General features: G+C 51.8%; 1 protein-coding gene across 18 annotated transcripts in view; it reads left to right on the top strand.

Annotated features, from left to right (window-relative positions):
* Positions 1 to 22,247, top strand: part of ZBTB7C (zinc finger and BTB domain containing 7C) — a 385,914-nt gene extending 363,667 nt beyond the window's left edge. For all 18 annotated transcript variants that reach the window (NM_001371287.1, XM_047437347.1, XM_047437346.1 and 15 more), the window contains 2 exons: positions 7,796 to 9,019; positions 19,008 to 22,247. In NM_001371287.1, coding sequence (NP_001358216.1) covers positions 7,812 to 9,019; positions 19,008 to 19,659 — 1,860 coding nt within the window. In that variant the 5' untranslated portion in view covers positions 7,796 to 7,811 and the 3' untranslated portion in view covers positions 19,660 to 22,247. The remainder of the gene's footprint in view (positions 1 to 7,795; positions 9,020 to 19,007) is intronic.
* Positions 22,248 to 22,650: the final 403 nt, after the last annotated feature.

Below are 22,650 nucleotides of genomic sequence, written 5' to 3'. Positions count from 1 at the left end.
TGTAAAATGGACGTAAAATTTGTACCAGCCTTGCCAAGCTCTTTGGGTTAGAAGTACCTGAGACAAGGAGGTATGAAAAAACCTTAGAAGATGGTGATGCTCCGAACAGATGCCAGGGGAGAGCCCTGGGAGCCTGTAAGGACCCTTCTCAGGGAGTGTCTTCAATAGCGTAGATCTCTGCAAAACTGTGCAGAAGGCAAATTGGTTTCTGTTATGGCCCCATCCCTGCAAAAACACCCATAAGATGTCTGCATCCTTCCTGGACTTCACAATTGCTAGCATTGGTTGAGCACTGACTACATATCAGGAGGCAATTTGTGTGCATTACCTCATTTGATCCTCATGGCAACTCATCCTCATTGTACAGATGAGGAAACCCAGCTCAAGGAGGGTAATTACCAAGTCCCACAGGTCATGGGGTGGTGAAGCGAAGATGTCAGCCCAGGCTATCTGAGAGCGGGGACCTCACCCTCAACCTCCTCAGTCAACTCCAGGCACAGTGTCAGCACCAGCTGAGGACAATTTGTTTGATCCCACTTGGGGAATCCAGGTTAAGCCTATTTTCAGAAGGGATTTAAAGCTCTCCAGATCCATTCCGGATTCAAATGATGTAGAGCATGTTCTTCCTGCCCCCTCTGCCCAACAAAATGCTTTCTACTCTTCACAGCTCAGACAAGGCCCCTGTTCCTAGAAGCCTTCCCTGACCCCCAGCCCACAGGGATCGGTACCTTTCTGCCCATACCACTCATTTGCACTCCATACTCCTTAGTCACCTGGCAAGCTTGGGTCTCAGCCCCCTCTGCTCATCTTTCCAGGCTGGCTCTGATTAAACCCCTAGACTAAGAGTCAGCCTCCCAGGGGAAGGGTCCAAATCCCCCTGCCCTTGAATTGGACTTCCCAGGGGGCAGCATGGTGAAGGGGAACAAATATGAGCTTTGGCATCAAACGCAGCTGGGTTCAAATCCTGGCTCAGACATTGGCTGGCTGGGTGGCAATGGGCAAGCTACCTGCCCTCTCCATACCTGTTTTATTATCTGTAAATTGGAGGTGCTGATAAAAATCTATATCTTTCAGAGTTGTGTTGCTTGAGAAAGGATTAGAGGTGTGATGACTGACGTGACAAGTGGCATTCAATAAATGGTAGCTATTATTGCAAAAGCTCACTAGCTTGCTGGCCCCTTGGTAGGGAGAGAGGGGAGCACAGTCTCTCTCTGAGAGGACAGATGCTCTCATTTTACAGTTGAACAAACTGAGGCCCAGAGAGGGAAGTGCCATTTTTTCAGACAGGGTTGCTTGGACTTACCCGGGTTCTAGAACCTTCCACTGAAGGCAGAGGCCCAGGGGATGTCCTCTGGAATAGTGGCCACATCTAAGAAGGTTTCAACCCGCCTGCATTCTTCTTTAACCTCTTTCTTCCATTTCTGAGCTCCTCATCTCCTCTTCCCATCTTTCTCCTTTATTTTCATCTCTATTTTTTTTCTAGCTCCTTCCTACCAAAGGTTCATACTTCACATCAAGCCTCTTCTAGCTGTTGAGTGTTTTGTTTTGTTTCTCATGTGTGTCTGTGTGTGTGTGTGTGTGGAATTTTTTTCCTTGTGCATGTTATTCTTGGAGACAGAACTGCCTTAGCTTAGAAGATGGGAGGCAAAGGGATGGAAGGCATGGGGGCAGGAGCATGACATCCCCTTTGGGACACTGCTGTCTACTGGCCCACCAGGGCATGGGAATCTTAGGGTCACCAGGGAAGCTCCCAGCATGCAGGGTGGGGACACTTCTTCCCAAAAAGACAATGAAACAGCAAGTGGCAGCCCTCACCTCCTGACCGCAGCTCACCCCTCCCAATCCCTGCCACTGAGGTTAGTCTCCTGCCTGGAAAAACAGCCTTGAGCTACCATGGTTACATCTGTTTCTCCAGGAATGGAACAAAGGCCACAAACCAAGGCGCAGTGAGAAGTCACTGCTGGGAAAACCAGCCTTCAAGTCCAGGGTCACAGGGTGGGTTCTGTCCCCATCGTCAGATCCACTTTGCGCTTCTGGCTCCTCATGGTCATGATGTTATCAGATTTCTCGTAACCATCCTATCACATGATGAGACAGAAGTCCAGAGAAGTGGAAGGGCCTCCCAAAGTCACACAGCTGTGGTTTCCTGATTGTGAGTCGCAAGTAGACATTGCTCTCAAAGCACAGAAGATCCACACTTAGCACAGGACAACCACACGCCATTTCTCAGAGTGCTCGGATGGTTATCACAGTGGGACGCTGATCACCAACACGTGGACTAACGGGTTCCAGCTCTTCTATTTTAAAAGGCAGAGTAAAGTTTAAGGAATGGTGGGAATTTTCCCTGAAAAGCATTTTAAAACATTTTCATCTCTAAAGGAATAAGCCCTTAGCAAGCAAGAAAACTTGGCTCTCCATAGAGAACTAATTTCCTGGGGTTTTACTGACTTTGGCTTTTTACTTAACAGTGGAAGGGTCGTTTCATTTACACACAGTCTTTTCAGATGGGAAGACCCCTTTGAGGGTCAGGACCCTGCTACCTACAGGGTGGCTTTGTGAGAATTAGAAAAAGGTGTCACTTCCTCAATACATTTGCTTCCATCTATCAAAACATTGTTGTAATACACGGATTTTGTTAAGGTGAGACATTTAACTGCCATCTGCCAGAAAATTATGATAAATATCACAAATCTATAGTGTCTGTGAAATGATGTCACTGGATTATTATCTATTACTGCATAACAACACAAAAATGTAGTGGCTTAAAGTGAGAATAAACATTTATTGCCTCATAGTTTCTGTGGATCAGGAATTTAGGAGATGCTCAACTGAGCAGTCCTGGTTCAGTGTCTTTCATGAGGTTGCAATCAAGATGTCAGCCAGGGCTGCTGTCGTCGGGAGTCCTGACTGGGGCTGGAGGATCCACTCTCAAGGTGGCTCACCCATTCAACTAGCAAGTTGGCATTGGCTGTTGGCAGAAGGCCTCAATCCTCTGCCATGGGGACCTCTCCCTAGGGCTGCTTGAGCATCCTCACAACATGGCAGCTAAGGACAGCCCTTGCCATAGACCTTCCACCAACTTTGTGTCAGGACTGTGCTAAGCATTTAATGATATGATCTGCCCTCAAGCAGCTTACAATCTAGCAGAGACACCAATCATTACAGTTCAAGGCAGAGTCAAATAAATGGCAAGAATCAGGAGACCGAAGGCTGGAGAGATGGAGCCTCTGAATTGAGGGATGGGGAAAGGGTTGTCTAAGTGAGACCTTGAAGTGTGGATGGGATGTGGACCCCCGGAAGTGCGAGATCAGTTGTAATCTCCAGCCAAGAGTTCAGCATGAACAAAGGCATGGCAGCTGAGAACAGGGTGTGTGTTTAGGGATTGGAGAGTAGGGGCTTCAAAGGTACATTTAGGGCACATTGGAGGGGAGCATTGTGGCCACTCAGTCCATCCAGGTGACCACCCACTCAGCTGTGCTCAGAAAGTGGGATGGGAAAGGCTGATTGAGCCACAGCTCTATTTTCTTCTCTCCCCTTCTCTTCTTACCCCCGGCAGAGCTTTGCCAAAACCACCACCAAAACTTACACAGAGTAGGGGAGGCTGTCTGGGGAGCGAGCAAGGGAGAGGACCCCTCTCCAACACTATGAGAAAGACAGTAGCCTGGGGCTGGGGTGGTCTCCACATTCCAGCCCCTGAGGCTGGCCAAGCCTGCCTGGAGGGCTCCAGTCTGCCCTGCCGGCCCTTGCCTGCTTGGCTGTCCCTGGAGGGCAGTGCCACCCAAATCCTTCCCTCCCTCCACCACAAAGGCATCCCTAAGCACCTCTGAACCTGCAGTCTGGGCCACTCATTACGTGTTAGCAGAGACTACTGTCCTTTCTTGGTTACTTTTGTGATCAGAGGCAGGAGCTGCAATTGGCTGTGGTTGGGAGCATGGCCTGGGGAGCCAGATGCAGGCTCAGGTCTCTGTGCCCTCACTCATCCTCTGTGTATCAGCTCTTAGTGGCTTCATTTCCCTCATCTGTAAAATGGGAACGATGGTAACAATAGGAGCTAAATGCGTTATTGTGAGGACTGAGTAAGCCTAAGGGCAGATGGCAGTCCTGACTCCTCTTTGGGAAACCCATTGTTTAGGGAGGATATTTAACCTGAAAAGAGAAGGTGCCTGCTTGTCCTGCCCTATCCTCCCAGTTCGTTTCATGGGTCCTGTTATATAAATGGAATCTGAAGCAAAGAGCTTGGGGCCAAGGAGGTGGGACAGGTATCTGATGGGTCCCCCTTGCCCACTGCACAGATGCTCACACCACACCTGACTCTGAGCATCCAAAACTAAATGTGGCTCAGACTTGAGGCCTCCCATCTGATCCAGGCCTCCAGGGGCTGCTTGCTGGCCCCCAGCCCAGCTGCCCAAAGGCAGCCTTCTTGGGGCATGGCAGCCCCAAAGGAGCCTGCTGGCATGCAACCACGCAGGCTGCCCTGGTTTCCTAAGCCCTCTGCGTTCCCTTGGGTGCCCACCACTACAGTGGGGAACCAGGGAAAGGAGGAAGTCACTAGGAGCTTCTCTCCTCATCCAGCATGGGAGGATGTGGAGATGTAGGAGGTGGCCTCAGAGCTCTCTCTGCAGCACAGCTCATTGAAGCCTCAGCCTGGGGACACCTTCCCTGGTCAGAGAGATGGAGGGGTGTCCATCAACTAATCCTACACAGGCCCTCGAGGGATCTGGGTGGGTATGGTCCATCTGAGCCCCCAGAGAAATGCAGAAGTGGAATGGTTTGTCAATAGACAAGAACCATGTTCAACGGGGCCACTCAGAACAGAACCTGGCCCCTCAGACCAAGGGCACCTTGGTGGGGCTGCCTACTTTGTGCCACTGTTCCCACAGCCTGGTACACTGTTCTCCACATCCTCCCATGCTGGATCCTTCTCCTCTTCTAGGTCTCTGCTCAAATGATGCTTCCTCAAGGAAGCCTCCCCTGTTCACCCTGGGTAAAGCGCCCCCCTCCTCTCCTCCCTTACAGCTCTGTGGTAGATAGCTGGATGAGAGATGGAGAGAAGCGAGGAGATTGATTAGTGGCTTTAGGTTGTTTCCCGTCATTTGCTTCTCTTAGACTTTTTCTTTTGAGATACTTATCGTTTCAGCTACAGTTGTAAGAGATGATACAGAGACATCTCATGTACCCTTTACGCATTTTCTCCAGTGGTAACATCTTGCAAAACCATAGTACAATATCAACCAGGATATGAACACTGGTATAATCAATATGCAGAACATTTCCATCACAAGTATCCCTCCTGTTGCCCTTTTATAGCCACACCCACTTCCCTCCCACCACCACCACCTCCTTAGTCCCTGGCAACCCTCATCTCTTCTCCATTTCTATAACTTTATCATCTCAAGAATGTTATATAAATGGAATCATGCAATATCTAACCCATTGGGATTGGCTTTTTTCACTCAGCGTAACTCCCTGGAGATTCATCAAGGCTGTTGCACATATTGAGAATTCACTCCTTTTTATTGCTGAATAGTATTCCCTGGCATGGATGTACCACAATGTTTAGCCATACACCTTTGAAGGATGTCTAGGTTATTTCCAGTTACTCACTATCGTGCACAAAGTGACCATGAACATTTGTGTATGAGTTTTTCATGGACATAAGATTTCATTTCTCTGGGGTAGATGCTCAAGAATTCAATTGCTGGGTCATATGGCGGTTGCATATTTTGTTTTTTAAGATCTGCCAAATCATTTTCTAGAATAGCTGTACCATTCTACATTCCTACCAGCAATATACGAGTGATCCTTTTCTCCACATCCTCACCAGCATTCGGTGTTATCAGTATTTTTTTATTATTTTAGCCACTATCCTATGTATGTAGTGATGTCTTATGATAGTTTTAATTTGAATTTCCCTAATGGCTCATGATATTGAACATCTTTTCAGATTAGATGGCTTATCTGCCATCTGTATACTCTGTTTGGTGAATCTTGCTGTACATTTTTATTGCAGTTGTTATGTCCCTCTAAGCTCTGTTAGAGCAGAGGCCTTCTTGATTTGTTCTCTGTGCATCCCCAGAGTACAGTACAGAGCCTGGCACAGGGAGACTACCCAATAATATTTAGAGAATGAATGCATGGACTGCCAGGGTCTCTGGCCCTTTTAAAGATGAGAAGGTGGGAAAGCAGTGAGGCCTTAGCTCTGGGAAGCCTCCTGAACACCTGGCCAGTGGGATTGCTTAGGGAACGCCTGGGCTGCCCCATGGTGGAGGAGAAGGTGAGGGCAGCGGAGGGGCACCCAGCATCCTCCATGCCTGCTGCCTTCCCAGTGCCCACTCACACTTTATGAGCGTATACTTCTCACTCCTCCCCTCCCCCTGCCTCTGCCTTCCCAGGACAGAAACATCCAGAAGATAAATGTGTAAGGATCTCCAGAACTCTTCCCACTGGGGCGTGGGGCTTTAGGATTTGTTTTCCTTTTTGTTTTCTCCCCACTTTATTTGTACCAAGATAAGGGCCAGGGCTTTGCTAGGATTTATCTAGATGAGCCATGTTGAAGCTTTGCTGTAAGTAGAAGAGCCCTATGAAGCTTGTCCAACCCACCTTATTTTATTGTTGTTGTTGTTCTGATTTGTTGTTTGTTTTGTTTTAGGCTTTTAGCAGCCTGAAGCCATGGTGTTTGTTTAGTTTCTGTCTCTAGTGATAAGTGGAAAAGAGGGATGAGGAAGGGGCTTTACTGGCCCAACCAGAAACTAACAAACAACCCATGACTATATTCTCTCCTTGGACGCCCCTACCTGCCCTGGCAGATGCCACATTTTGTCCCAGTTGACTGTGTTCACCTGGGCTGTGAGCTGTGCTTCCTGAAAGGAAGGGATGCCAGTTGTCCCCTGTCGTGCCCTGCTTTCTTCTGGTGGCTGCCACTGGCCATACTTTATGTATAACATATACAATGATAAGGTGTCTCAGAAGACGCTTCTCACCACAGGGGTTGATATTTTCATGAGGCTGACAGAATTTAGACATGAAAAATTAACTAACAATGTACTTGAATTTATATTTATATTGCATTATATTTATATTGAATATTGCATTTATATTTGTATTGAATTTAAATATTTATAGGTGAAATCACTCTCAGATATACACATATAGGAAGTTAGTGTTTTTTTTTTAAAAAAAGGATCAAGATTTACAAATGGAAGGAAACTTCAACTGCAATGAACGAGTAAGGTCAGGAAGCAAAACATACCACAAGGCCCCCATTTACTTGCTGAAAATGGGCCACGAAATTTGTTTTAAGCTTCCTAGTAGCCAGTGCAAAGTGTAAGTCTGTTACAGAATCAGAGGATTTGTGAGACAAATCAGAGCATCTTCTCAGCAGAAGCACTGAGAGGTCCTTGCCCCACAGAGGTGGGTCCTGTTCCTGCAGCCAAGGCAACAGCTAGGTTCATGAGGCTTTTCATCCTGCAGTTGTATTCTGCAACTGCATGTTGGCAAAGTGGAAATCAGTAACACCAAGCCTGAGAGAAGGCTTGCAGCCTTTGGTGAGTAGCTGACACCAGCTGCCCAGTGAGAAGCCTATCCCTAAGAGTCTTAGGGGTCCAGAGAAAAGCCCCAGCTTGTAAGCCAGGCTGTGAATTGCAGGTGAGATTTGGCAAGGCTAAGAGGTAGGAGGACTGGCCTTGCAGTGGACAGGGAGCCCTTATGCCAAGGAGGTGGCTCAGAGTCCTAGAGTTGAGACCCCTCCTGGGGCCACGCTCACTAACCCAGTCTTCTTCTCTGTGTGTCTCTGCAGGGCTCTGGCTGAGAACATGGCCAATGACATTGATGAGCTCATTGGCATTCCCTTCCCCAACCACAGCAGTGAGGTCCTGTGCAGCCTCAATGAGCAACGGCACGATGGCCTGCTGTGTGACGTGCTCCTGGTGGTGCAGGAGCAGGAGTATCGGACCCACCGCTCCGTCCTGGCTGCCTGCAGCAAGTACTTCAAGAAGCTTTTCACAGCCGGCACCCTAGCCAGCCAGCCCTACGTCTATGAGATCGACTTTGTCCAGCCTGAGGCTCTGGCTGCTATCCTGGAGTTCGCCTACACCTCCACGCTCACCATCACCGCTGGCAATGTCAAGCACATCCTCAACGCAGCCAGGATGCTGGAGATCCAGTGCATCGTGAACGTGTGCCTGGAGATCATGGAGCCTGGGGGGGACGGGGGGGAGGAGGATGACAAGGAGGACGATGACGACGACGAAGATGATGATGATGAGGAGGACGAAGAGGAGGAGGAGGAAGAGGAGGAGGATGACGATGATGACACGGAGGACTTTGCTGACCAAGAAAACTTGCCTGACCCCCAGGACATCAGCTGCCACCAAAGCCCTTCCAAGACAGACCATCTCACAGAGAAGGCCTATTCAGACACCCCCAGGGACTTCCCTGACTCCTTCCAGGCTGGCAGTCCTGGCCATCTGGGGGTGATCCGGGACTTCTCCATCGAATCTCTGCTAAGGGAGAACCTGTACCCCAAGGCCAACATCCCCGACAGGAGACCCTCCTTGTCTCCATTCGCCCCGGACTTCTTTCCACACCTCTGGCCAGGGGACTTCGGTGCCTTTGCCCAGCTGCCTGAGCAGCCCATGGACAGTGGGCCACTGGATCTGGTCATCAAGAATCGGAAGATCAAGGAGGAGGAGAAGGAGGAGCTGCCCCCACCCCCACCGCCACCCTTCCCTAATGACTTCTTCAAGGACATGTTCCCTGACCTGCCGGGGGGGCCTCTGGGACCCATCAAGGCGGAGAACGACTACGGTGCCTATCTCAACTTCCTGAGTGCCACCCACCTGGGAGGCCTCTTCCCACCCTGGCCCCTGGTAGAAGAGCGCAAGCTGAAGCCCAAGGCCTCTCAGCAGTGCCCCATCTGCCACAAAGTCATCATGGGGGCCGGGAAGCTGCCGCGGCACATGAGGACCCATACCGGGGAGAAGCCATACATGTGCACCATCTGCGAGGTCCGCTTCACCAGGTGCGCATGGCAGCCCTCGGGTGTGGGGCACGGGGCCAGAGGCCATGGGGGACAGCAGAGTTGGGCAGGGAGGCTGGCGGTGGAGACAGAGACCCAGATAGATCCCACACACATGCAGGCTCGTGGCTAGCAGGGGTGCTAGGCATCACCTGGTGCTGTGACTTTCAAGCCCTTTTTAGGGGCTGCAGTATTTTCTCAGATACAATATTAGGTGGAAGCCCATGACATGAAGCAGGTAAGAGCAGGGCTGTTCTGGCTGGGAAGGAAGTGAGGCGCCTCAAGCACCTTGGTTGCTTGGCTTCCTCTTCTCCTTCCAGCTGTAAATTTGTGGAACCCAGTTTGAATGGATGGCCCTCCCCAGATGGAGTGCCGCCCCTTTGTTTGATTTGGAGAAGCAGCCACTGACCTTTATTAAGCATATTCTGCATGCCAGGGGCCGTCCTCGGCACCTTAAGTACATGCTTACCACAGCTAGGCCCTGGGAAGATGGGGAGACGTGGTTGACTTTGTTTATGACACATCTCCCAGTGGCTAGCTGACCAAGCATGTGTGCAGCTGGAAAATGGCAGAGCTGAGACTGGAATCTCAGCCTCTGTGTAATAGCAAAGCCGGTGACCAGTAGACTGCAGAGATGCCTGTAGGTCCTCTCAATCATTTTGGGGTCAGACCTAAAGGCTGGGCCTCTTTTTATGTTCTCCTCTTTGCCTTTCCATTTAAGGAAGGGGGACAACTTTATGCTGTTATAAAATTTGAAATTTGAAATCAATACATTATAAACCTTTCATCTTTCATAGACTCTGTCCCATTCAGCAAACATATGTTATATGCCTACTCTGCACAGCAACTTTTGTACTCAAAACTGATTGGCGGGTTGACGTGGGGTCAGATCTGCCCACTGCCAGCTTTGGCTAGGCCTCACTTTTGGAAAATACGGCCCATTGGTGCTATCTCTGGTTCCTGGTGTGAGGCTGATCTTTTCAGCCATGTCCACAGGTGGGGAGGGCTCTGGTGGGTGGCCTGGCATCAGGGTTTGGTCATTTCAGTGTATCCTGTGTGTACAGAGCCTGGCGATGCCTGCCCTGTGAACATGACTTACTAGACTAGGTCCCTTCCCCACCCTGCCACTGTCCCTCTCAGAGAACTCACCTTGAGAGACCCACACTTGTTCCGGTGGCGGTGCTGCTGCCCCACTTCCTCTTGGAGATGTATCTTTGGGAATTGGTGGCAGCTCATTCTTTTGATTTTCCTCAGTGGGCCCAAAGCTTTGGCCCAAGGACACAGTGCAAGGTTGTGAATGAGACTGGATATCAAATCAGGGACTATGCTTTTCCAGGAAAAAAAAAAAAAAAAAAGATGAGTCCTCTAAAGTCATGAGACCTGTTCTTCTGGGTTGCTTGGAAACTACTGGAAGTTGCCAGAGAAGAGTTTCAGAAATCCATTCAGGTGACACTGGTGTGGCTGAAATAGCTCTGCAGGCTCCTCAGGGGACTGTTTTGAAGGAAACACTGATTATTTCCAAGGTGGCCTTGGGGTCCTGCTCACAGCTGCTTCTGTGAGGGGAACCCCAGACAGCATCTGTCCCAGGTGCTTCCAGTGACAGTAGAGGGAGAATCTGCAGGAGCAGAGGGGAAGGGCCTCACAGACCCAGGATGTGTTCCCTTGCCCTTAGCAGTGAGCTAGGCCAGCCACCCGGCAATGCTGACAGCAGGGCGCCCTGCTCCTGTTACTCCCCAGAGCAGATGGACCCAAGGTTCCTGAGATTCACCTCCCCTTGGATGTCCCTCAGTGACAGCCCTGCCACCCCAATGCCACCGTGGGTGATGCTGCCCCCTACCTCCTCCTGAATTCACCTTAGCCCCACAGAACCAGGCAGAACACCTGAACAAGGCTTGGCAAAAGCACAGGAATACCGAGGGAGATAAGCCAGAGCACCGTGTGAAAGCCAGATTCAAGTACAGCTCACCCATCTTCACGGGGGGCCTGGCTTCAGCCCGAGAGTCCCAGCCCCTGCATATGACTTTAAGGATGCCAGGAAGCTCTTCACAGGCCAGATCAGGAAAGCCAGCCATGTTATCAGCCTGGAGCGCCCTCTCCTGCCAACGCAGGCTCTGCCTCCCTAACTGCCCATGCCTGCCCCCTTGGCAGATGGCTAACAGGAGCACCTCTCCCTTCAGGGGAGACCGAGGCTGGTGACTCCAATTCCAAAAGGATCTATCTGTGTCTCAGGATATCGCACGGTGGCCCTGCTGGCACCCTGAGACCCCATCTCCCTTCTTCCCCACTCCCTTTCCTCTGGGCCTTCCCCACGCACAGCCTTCTGTGAGGTCCACGCCAGGTCTGGACAGTCTGTGCACCCTGTTTTAAGGGAAGGTTTTAACCGTGCGTAGTCACTGCAGACAGACTTCTCACCCTCTGGACCCTGGGACATTCTCTGGGAGTGGGCGTCCTGGTTTGGGCAGCAGTGCTGTGTTGTATAGGAGGGTGACATTCCAGGTTCCTCCCTCCCAGCACATTCCTGATGGTCACTTGGGGTGGCCTCTCTGTCTGCAGTCCCCACTCCCAGCCAGATGATAGGCAGTGGGGCAGCTCTGGTCATCCAGCCATCTGGCCTTGGGTTCCTCCTGCTCCAGAATGACGGCCATCTGGCCCCAGGCCTGTCTCCAGCTGAAGCTGCTGCATTGCAGCCCCCTCAGCACCCCCACCACTTGTTCCCACTGGTCTCTGACCCTCCCGAAAAAGATCAGACAAGCTCTTGGGTCCTTCTCTTCCCAGGAGGAGAGAAACCCCGAGCTGGGGAAAGGCAGGGTGGAGGAGATGGCTCCAGCCTGCCTCCCTTCAGAGGCTTTATTGCTCACTGTGGGCTGTGGCTGTCCTTGTGGGACACTCCCCACTCTCCTCCCCCTCACATTCTTCAGAATCACTGGGCCTTTGCTTCTCACCCCATCTCTGGAACTGCCCGGCAAGGATTCTTTTCCGTGCTTGAAGAGCCCCAAGCGTGGTCTGTCCAGGTTGAGGTTTTCCTGTAATTCTCCCTGTGGCCAAGGCTCCCTGCAGCCTTTCCACGGGGACCTTATTTTTGGCTGAATTCCCCAACGCGATTCCTAACACCTGCCCCTTCCACCTGGAAGCTCTTCAGCAGCCACTTAGAGCAGAGACGGCTGCCTCGTTGACGCAGAATTCCCAGACTCCCTTCCAAGGCCACGCCACTTCCTGAGACTGGGCCCTGTCATGTCACTCTTGTCCCCGCAGCAAGGACCCAGACATGCTGCCCTCAGGTCCTTCTCTCGGACATGATTTCCATTTCCCCTTCTGGAACCCGAGTCTTTCCTTCATCACAGCTGAGCTTCTGCCCTGGCAAAGCCCCATTTCCTCCCTCCTTGATGTTGGGAAGAGCTCAGGGTCTTGTGACACCCTCCCCGCCCCACCCCATGGGGTGCTGGAGAGGCCTGCCCTTCCCCTGCATGGTAGCCCTTCAGCCCAGGCTCTGAGTCACAGCCTCCCAGATGCCAGCTCCCAGAATGTCCACACCCCACGGGGACGTACTAATGACCTCAGCAGCCACAACCCAGGGGGAGGACATGGGAATCCTTCCAGCAGAGCCCCTTCACCCCTAAGGCCCTGCCTGCTGCTGTCATTCTGTGGGTCTAGAGAGGAGGGACAGAGGCCGCCCCACAATGGTATTGTCTGTTCTTTGGTGTCAGGAACCTCACCTCTGAGGCAGCTCTAGATTCCAGCCAGTCCTACCAGGTGTCCCACCACTGATCTGTTCCAAATATGAAATCTCCCTAGGCAGGGCCTCAACGGCATCAACCAAACTATTTCTTTGGCCCCATGCTGTCCCTTCCTAGCTCTGGTCACCCCATAGCCACTTGGGCTCCCTTTGCCTGTGCACTCCCTCGGTTTAGTTCAAAGACACCGTTTTCCTCCTGGGAAAGGCTTGTGCCTGTGCTGGCCACAGAGGCAGCTCCTGTCCCTTTCAGGTCTGACTTGGGACACAGAAACAGCTCCAGGTCATAGGGCAGAGGCAGTCTGGACCAAGATTACCTTAGATCCTCTTCATCAGGAATCCTTTCCCTTCTCTTCCCAGAAAGTCTGGAAGCCAGGAGCCAAAGGTTAGGATGGCAGGCTTCGGCCAGAGGTGATGCCTAGGAAGGGCCTAGAAGAACAGGGAGCATGTGATCTCAGGAAGATAAAGCATTTGTCTTCATGCACAGGGACACTGCTATGCTTGGTGGGTATTTTCCCTGCCCACGGACATCCCAGGTCCAGGTGGCCCCCGCACACCTTTTTGCCCCATCTGCAGCCATCACTGCCAACTGGGCCTGGCCCTGGGCCCTGTGAAAGCCTGTGCATCTTCCGCCTCTTAATTCCCACCACATGGGTCCTTGATTGCAGGCCATAGAGACTTGCCCCTTGCCTCCCCCAGCCCTTCTGTTAGTAGCTCCTAGAGAGCATGGCTGGCTGGTCTCCCTCCTGGAGCCCCTGCATCCTGTCACAGCCTGGCTCCCAGAGATGCCCCAGCCATGCCTGATGGGGACAGTAGTGAAGGCAAGAAACTGCAAAATGAAAACAGACTGGCCCAGAGACAGCAGAGGTCCCATAGAGCACACCGTCCTGGGTGGGGATGGACGACCTCTGCACCGCAGTCACTCTCTGACAAGGCACGCTTTCCAGTTCCGCTGAACCCCGAAGGCTGTGCCTTTTAGTCTCCACCTGCCTCCTCCAGTGCCAGCCGAATGCTGACCACCTTTGTGCCCCCACAGCTGCCTGCTCTCCAGATAAGCCAGCAGCCTGGCTTTTGTCTTCCCTCTATTTTCTTTGTAGTCCTCCCACTCCTGGCAGCTCTGGGAACCCTATTAAGATAATGTAATGGCATTAGCAGTGGTAGCAGGAAGAGTGTGTCTCAAACCATCGGGTTACAAGAAGTCCAGGTAGAGGCTGCTGGGAAAGCATTATCCTGATTGGGAGCCTTTCTGGAGGCCACAGACCTCAGGCCAAGGCCCCACAGCCCTTTTCTTTGATTCTGGGAATGAGCTCATGAGGACTCACATGACTTTCCCGACGATGAGCTCTCCAGGCTGAAAGGAGGCATGTAGACCGAGGCTTGGGTGCATATGTCCTTGGCTGTCCCTGATGCAGAGAGATGGAACGAGATGGCAGACAAGGGGACCAGGGCCAGAGGGGAGCATGTTGGATTTGTAGTCGGAGAGTTCTGAAATTGGCACCACTAGTCAGTCACCAAACGCGCAGTGAGCCTCCTCTCTATCTACATTCAGTGTTGTGTGTTGTGCAGAGTACGAAAGAGCATCCCACAGGTTCTCATCAAAGCAGGTACCAGAACTCCATGCCACGTGCAGGGAGGAGTGCTGGGAGGAGGAGGGCTGGGAGGAAGAGGGCTGGGAGGAAGGGGCACCCTGGCTCTGGGCTTGGCCTTCTGGGAGGGCCCTAAGGATAGAGCATCAGTGTCCAAGCACAAGACATGCACACACGGGGAAGGAGCCAGGGTTTACAGGGCATCCACCCTGTAATGTGGTGGGCTGTGCACTGGGGGACCGGCAGTCCAGTTCATACCTGCAGGTGTTCAAAGATGCAGAGTTGCCCAGAGTGTGGGGCAGCGTACCATGGGGGGCAGGCAGGAAGCTGGCAGAGGAGATGGCAGTGAGCTTGTGAAGAGCCCAGAAAGCCATGCTAAGGGGTAAGTGAGCACACAGGCCATTGGACAAGGGGGCCTTGGGAAGTTTTAAGTGGAACTGCCAGACCTCCATTCCTACAGAGAAGTAACTAAGAGCTCAGCTCTTGAGATTCCAGCTAGAACATATTCCAGCTAAACTCACGCTGCTTCCACAGGCAGATTGAATATGTGAAGCAGCAAGGAAGCCAGCCAGCCAAACAGACTCCAGAAGGAGATTTGGCAGAAGCCCATTACCCAGATGCATACACTCATGGAGCACTAGAGGCCCCAAGGATGCAGCCCAACCCGCATTTTAGAGATCAGGAAACTAAGGCCCAGACCAGGGAAGGGAACTGATCTAGTTCTTGGAGTGTGCCCGGCACCACCTCCAGCTCCAATGCACGTCACAGTATCCACAGGAAAGGTCAGTGTAAAGAAGGAGGCTGTGTGGCCCTAGAACACCATTCCCTCTTTGGTCCTTTCTTTCCTTATCTTGGAAGTAATTAGATCAGTGTTTTCAAGGTCCTGAGAAGTGTACTGCTAATAGTGTCACTTACTGGGCCCACTGACTCAGACCATGAATCAGAATGTGGTAAAGTATGCCTGGTAAACTAGATGATCCTCTGAAGTTTTTTCCAGCACTGGCTTATCATGAGCTTTGCCTACTCTTCCCACCCCTTGCCCCCATTCCCACAAATGTCTCCATTAGGGAAAGCTCCTGCCTAGGGCTGAGTTCCTCCCATTGGCATACCCCAGTCTTCTGGCCACAGAGGCAGAAAGCTGGCTACCGGTGCCCTCTCTTGATTGTTCTGGTCTGCCCTTTCTGCAGCAGTCCTCTTAGGCCTCAGGTTGGGAATCCCTGCTGTGAAAATCCATCCTTTCTCATCCCCAGAATAGCTTACAAACAAACCACAGCCAGGTAGCCCCCCAGGTTCCTTTGCCCCCACCAGCTGTATACCTTTGGGAAGCTCTTAACTTCTTTGAGCCTCCTTTCTGCCTGTGTCCAAGTGAGGAAATTACACCAAGTGTGTTGAATCTAGCTCACGCAAACCCAGATTCTCTCCATCTGCCCTGGACAATGGGAAGTGATGTCTGGTCCTAGGTTTAGCTCTGCACAGAGAGGTTAAATAACTTGCCTAAAGCCACCCAGCAAGTTGGTGGTGGGTCTGAAGCTACAACAGGGACTCCCAGACTCCTGGAGGGGCCCTACCTCTATACCATATGCCTCTGAATAATGAATTCCCAGGGTCAATGAAGTCATGTATTTACCTGCCCATAGCAGATGTTCAATAAAAGGATATCGTAGGCACCTTCTCAGCACTTCTTACATCCTTGGACCAATTGCCACAAAAATGGGACTTCTTTTAGATACACTAATGAGAAGTTTGGGAGGCATTTGAAGATTTACCACTTATATTGTCCATTGTTTGAGAGTGACCCTAAGGGTCAGTGCTACTAATTATGTGTAATAGTGACTTAAAAAAAACCTACCTGGCCAGGGGCGGTGGCTCACACCTGTAATCCCAGCGCTTTGGGAGGCTGGGGTGGGCAGATCACGAGGTCAGGAGATCGAGACCATCCTGGCTAATATGGTGAAACCCTGTCTCTATTAAAAATACAAAAAAAATTAGCCAGGCGTAGTGGTGGGCACCTGTAGTCCCAGCTACTCAGGAGGCTGAGGCAGGAGAATTGTGTGAACCCGGGATGCGGAGCTTGCAGTGAGCCAAGATCGCACCACTGCACTCCAGCCTGGGTGACAGAGCGAGACTCCGTCTCAAAAAAAAAAAAAAAAAAAAAAAAAAAAAACCTACCTTGTCCGGGCACAGTGGCTCACGCCTGTAATCCTAACACTTTGGGAGGCCGAGGTGGGCAGATCACAAGGTCAGGAGTTCAAGACCAGCCTGACCAACATGGTGAAGGCCCGTTTCTACTTAAAAAAATACAAAAATTAGCCGGGCGTGGTGGTGCATGCCTGTAATCCCAGCTACTCGAGAGGCTGAGGCAGGAGAATCACTTGAACCTGGGAAGCGGAGGTTACAGTGAGCCGAGATCATGCCACTGTACTCCAGCCTGGGCAACAGAGTGAGACTCTGTCTCAAAAAAATAAAAATAAAAATAAAAAAACCTACCTCATAGGTTGTGGTGAGGAGTAATGAGATGATGCATTTAAAGCCCTGCTTAGCTGATTCTGAGCTGAGCCCTCTGCCAGGCCTGGTGAGGGAGCCCAGCCGACCACCTAGCATCAGTGTTTCCATCAGAGCCTGGGTGAATTTGTGGAGGCCCAAGACATATCCCTCAGGACTGGGAAGTTGCATCACTCCAGGGGTACAGGCACCCGACACTTCCATTTTCACAGTCACAGTGCTGTGGTGAGAAAAGAGGCCTTGACTCCCGGGCCTGCCATGACCCTCTGGGTGAGTTTGGCAAGTTCCCCAGCTGGGTCTGTTTGCCCACCTACATAGTGGAGGCTTTGCCTAGACCGGTGGTTCTCAGTGTGGGGTCCACGGACCACCACCACCACCAGCATGTGGCAACTGGTTAGAAATGCAAATCCTTTGTCCCTCTCCCCTATCCCAGACCTACTGATCAGACTCTCTGGGAGTAGGGCCCAGCACTGTTTTATTGAGTCCTGATTATGGTTCGAATGCATCCTTAAGTTTGAGACCCACTGGCCTAAATGGTCTCTGAAGTCCCTTCCTCCTCAAAAATCCAATCATCTAGGTGAAATCTGGGTTACAGAGACCACAGCATGCTGGTAGGGGGTGGGATATCACAGCAGAGTACTATGTAGCCTAGGGGTGGCTGGTGGGTTTGAAAAAAGGCAGGAGCAGTGGGATGTGGAGGGGAAGAGGGTGACCCCACTTCCCTTCTCCTCACTCCCAGGGGCTCTCCAGCCTTCCTGTGAGCACAGGTGGGAGGACTGGATCTGTCCTCTCTGATCCTCCTCTCACAGTGCCTGCCAGTATTCATGGGAATGTCCTTTTCTCTCCTGCTCTGCCCCTGGAGAACCATTTTGAAAATGAGAGCTGGTGAGACCTCTAGTGGCCAGGAGACACCAGGAGCCTAGGACCTGCACCTGCTGTCCTAGGATTACGTTAAACAGGGTTTAAATCTGGCCATCTTAGGGAGGACACCTGGACTCCACATCTGTTCTAACCTCAAAGCAGAGCCTGAAATTATAGGCAGATGCTCCACCCAAGCCACACCTGCAGGGAGGAAGTAGGAGACTAGACACAGAGCTTCCTGGCCCCTATGGCCCCACTGGGGAAGGCTGCGAATTATCCCAAGAGGAATTCTTGCAGCCCAGCTGCCTATACCTCAGCCACCTTAAGCTGGTTTACCCAATGCTCAGTGTTTATGAAAACAACCCCCTGATATCAGTTTTCCTGTCAAGACCACCAGGAGGTGTGTGGAATCTAGCTCACACAGACCCAGGTTCTTTCCATGAGCCCTGGACAATGAGAATTGATGTCTGGCACCAGGTTCAGCTCTGGGCAGTGAGGTTAAGTAACTTGCCTGAAGTCACCAGCAAGTTGGTGGTGGGTCTGCAGCTGGCGCAGAGGCTCCCAGACCCCCAATAGGTGCAGGCGCCCCCACCCTACACCATACCTTACCTGTGAATAATACCACTTAAACCCTGCAAAGTTTTGCCCTAGATTAGGCTGCATTCTTTTCGCACCTGGCTCTTTTGTAAACCCTGAAATTGTCTACAGACAAAGAGGAGAGCCCAAGGCTTAGGATAAGAAACCACCATGCAGGAGGTTTGAACAAGGTGTGCCCAAGCTTCTATAGCCTCCCAGATTAGTGCCAAACACAGACAGATCTCAATAGCCCGGGGGCTGGGATGGGACCAGGGACTTTGGGCCAAAGCATATAGATGAACTGGAGGGAAAGCATAAGGTTGCCTGGAGAGAGTGGGTATGAGATTAAAGTGCAGTCCAGTATCAGCAGAAGTCGCTGCACTATCCGAGGACTAAGGTCAGAAATGCTGACTTCTGGCGAAGTATCTTCCCAGTATGTGAGATAAACCCCTAATAGAGTGGGAGTTTCATGACTCTGAGCTCGGGTATAAAAGGAGTTTGGGGGAGTGGGGCTTTCAGGACACTGCTTTTTCCGCATCCCTTTAATCCAGGTGAGTAACCATACCTGTCTAAGGTGGGGCAGCAGTTGAGGGTAGATCTAGCATGAGACCTATTTCTGGGGTTTGACTCCATGGCAGTAGGGAGCCTCGGCTGGTTCTGGAGAAAGGGGGAGCAAAAGGTTAGGAATGGCTCCTGGTGTTCCCTGCGGGACTGACCCCCAGTCTCTGCATTGCAGGCAGGACAAGCTGAAAATCCACATGCGGAAGCACACAGGGGAGCGGCCCTACCTGTGCATCCACTGCAACGCCAAGTTCGTGCACAACTACGACCTCAAGAACCACATGCGCATCCACACGGGCGTGCGGCCCTACCAGTGCGAGTTCTGCTACAAGAGCTTCACGCGCTCTGACCACCTGCACCGCCACATCAAGCGCCAGAGCTGCCGCATGGCACGGCCCCGACGCGGCCGCAAGCCTGCTGCGTGGAGGGCCGCCAGCCTGCTCTTCGGGCCCGGCGGCCCGGCCCCCGACAAGGCGGCCTTCGTGATGCCCCCTGCGCTGGGCGAGGTGGGCGGCCACCTGGGCGGCGCAGCTGTGTGCCTCCCGGGCCCCAGCCCCGCCAAGCACTTCCTGGCAGCGCCCAAGGGCGCCCTGAGCCTGCAAGAGCTGGAGCGGCAGTTCGAGGAGACACAGATGAAGCTGTTCGGGCGCGCGCAGCTGGAGGCTGAGAGGAACGCGGGGGGCCTCCTGGCCTTCGCGCTGGCCGAGAACGTGGCGGCGGCGCGGCCCTACTTCCCGCTGCCCGACCCTTGGGCCGCCGGCCTGGCCGGCCTCCCTGGGCTCGCCGGCCTCAACCACGTGGCCTCCATGTCCGAAGCCAACAACTAGGCTGGTCCCTGTCGGCTCCAGCCCACCAGCCCTCCAGTCCTTCTCCCTCCAGGCCCACTCTACCCTACCCCATGGATCTGAACTTTTCATTTTAAAAACACAAAGGGAAAATGGGAAAATAATAATAATACTATCAGTGATGGCATTTTCCCGGGCTCCTAAAGCAGCTGCCTCCTTTTGCTGGTCTGAGACGGGCATCTTTTCCCAAAAGGCCAGGAGCCCGGGCCTCCCTCCCTGTCTCTCTGGCTCTCATATAGAAACTTGCACCGGCCCATGCCACAAAGAACTGGGTGCCCAGGGGCACTTAGGAGCTGGGTGAGTCATGAGGGGTCAGGGGGTGGTTGGCCTGGTGCCCAGCCAGCCACAGCAGGAGGAGGTAGGGGCTGGGCATGCACCTTGGTTAAGCCCCACCCCCTATGGCAAAGTCTCTGCCAACACTCCTCTGAGGGCTCATTTTCCAGTCTCCAGTGGCCCCGGGGTCTTTTTGAGAACTACCCACCTGCCACATAGAAAGAAATGCTCTGTTGGCAGGGAGGCCTCCTGGAACCAGTCAGGAACCAGGCTCTGGAAGGCCCGGGCCATTTCTTCCCTGACCTGTCCTGTGACCTTGACAGGTCAGCCCTCTGTAGCTCAGTGTCACCTGGCTATGGAAGGGGCTGGTAACTGAGGTTTCCGCCCTCCACCTCTAAACACATACACACCTATCCCCCCAGAGAATCACAGAGATGGTAGAAGCTTTGTACTCCCCAAGTCCATGGGGAAACAGTTTATCTTTCTGGACTTAGTTTTATCACATCCAGCTCTATATTAGCATATTAGCATAGGTGAGAAATATGGCCAGACTAGACAGAGATCAGGTCATCAGGGGAGCTTCCGAGCTTCAGCAAAGCCCACAGGTAGCTCTGCGAACTCAGAATGCTACCCTACCTTCCCTGCAGGCCGCTGTTCATGTCTGGACTCCTGGGGGCGCTATTTAATGTTTACCCCCATCTCCAGTGCCCCCTCCAAGGCTGTGCAGTGTCTTGGGGCTCTCAGGGCCAACATCGAAGAGATGGGGGCCACCTCTTAACACCTGGCAACAGTCTCCCCTCATCCTGATTCCTGACAACAGACAAAACACCGGTTTCTAGGGTTTATCTGTTTGTTTTTTGAGTTGAGGGTTCCTCAGGGCCTTGGCATTGCTAGTGATGGTCCCCTTTGCTGTGTGAGAACCCCCTCAACCCCTTCCTCCTCCCTCTGGGGATGAAGTGGGAGTATTTGGCTCCCCATTTTTGACAAAAGGGCTCAGTGCAGGGAGGTGGAGGCCTCTGAGGTTTGAAGGGCTCTGTGAGTTAGAGTTGTCACATGTTCTCCTGGTTCTTGAATTTGCAGCAGGTCCTGAAAAGGAAGGCTCTGCTGGCCCCGTGCCTTCCTGACCTTCTCTCTCCTTCCCTCCCCTCTCTTTTCTTGCCAAGTTTGCTTTGGTTTCTGAGCAGCCCAGAGAGGAGGAGGGTTCGTCCCCAGGGAGAGCCCAGGGCTGGAGTCCCCAATCCCTGTGCTATGGGCACAAAGAGACTTCAGCTCTTCCTGTTGCCTTGGCTTTTTCCTGAGCAAAAACACAACAAACAAAAAGGCCAGAGAAGAGCACAGACTCTGTCCCTCTCACAACTCTCCAGAAGAGACCCCCTGATTCTTCACACCACCGGATGCCACTCCAGCCAGCAGGATTGCTACACACACCCTCTGTTCTCAGAAGTCATCTGCCTGGGCAGCCGCCTCTCAGATTCCTGTCTTCGTTTCAGACACTTTTCTCTGAAGCATGCCCATGTCCACCAGCCAACGTGCCCCCGTGTTCCCCCCCATCAGCCAAGTGATTGGGGCTGAACCAGACTTTAAAAGAGAGGAAAAAAAAAAAAAAAGGAAACATGAATAAATTGGAATCCAGTGGTGTTGGGGCTTTTGTTTTTATTTTGTAAAGGTGATGACTTCTTATAAACTCAATTTTTCAGATGACTGGTTAGTTCTTTCTGTTTTTTCTTGGCTGCAGTTTGGAATTGTACATTGTAAAATATCCAAAGATGTTGAGTACTGTATGATCAAGAACTTGAAGCAAATGGGTTGTGGGGGGAGGGGTGGTTGTGTTTTTGTTTTGCTTCAATTTTTTTTTTTTTTTGATGTTTCAATTTCCCTGTCTGTCTGTGGGAGAACTTTGGAATTTTTTCTATTTATAACTCTTTTTTTATGTGATTGCTCTACGTAAAATGACACTCAACAAAGTTTGCCTTAGTGATTCAAGGGACAATCTTCCATAACTTCGGTCGCACGCCACATCCCGCCGAGAAAAACTCTCAGCTAATTTTCTGGCCTATTTATTAAACAGTATTAATTGACTTGATTAAATTATATTGAGAGTTGCACTTCTGTGAGATGTGACTTCTGAAAGTTCACAGGACAGCAACAAGCCAGTCTTAAGGTTTTTAATTGTTGGGTGTCATAAACTTAAAATAATGTCAAAGACACCTTAACAAAGAAAAAAAAAAAAACCTTTGACCCTTATTTTATACTTTAAAGGACAGTGTTTTGAGTAAAAGTGAGCTATGCTTGCTTAATGACCTGGTGAGATTGATTCCCCCTTCCAATTGCCGTTTCAGTTATCTGGGGGTGTTGCATGGTAGGGAGGGCAGAACTCAATTCTCAGTAGTCTCTTACATTCCAGCTTTGTAAGGCATGGTTGGATCTTAAGCTTTGCAGCACCTGTGGGCCTGAGTGCGAGGTGTGCGTGTGTGTGCGTGTGTTCACAAACGTGTGCAGCTACACCCCAGGATGTGTGAGCAAGGGAAGTCCTGCCAGTTCCCCAGCCTGGCATCCGGAATGGGCTCCGGCTGGCCCTGCTGCTATCTGGGTCTCCTTCCTCTCACTTCCCGGTGCTGGCATCGGCCTCCTCCTTTCTTCACCTGAGCCTCTTTCCCAAAGAACATTAGATCCTAAAAGAACCTAAGGTAAAGGAATATA

The sequence above is a fragment of the Homo sapiens genome, chromosome 18 (assembly GCF_000001405.40).
Source record: "Homo sapiens chromosome 18, GRCh38.p14 Primary Assembly".
Lineage (NCBI taxonomy): Eukaryota > Metazoa > Chordata > Mammalia > Primates > Hominidae > Homo > Homo sapiens.
Note: the sequence above shows the minus strand (reverse complement) of the source record. Positions and strands in the feature narration are given on the sequence as shown.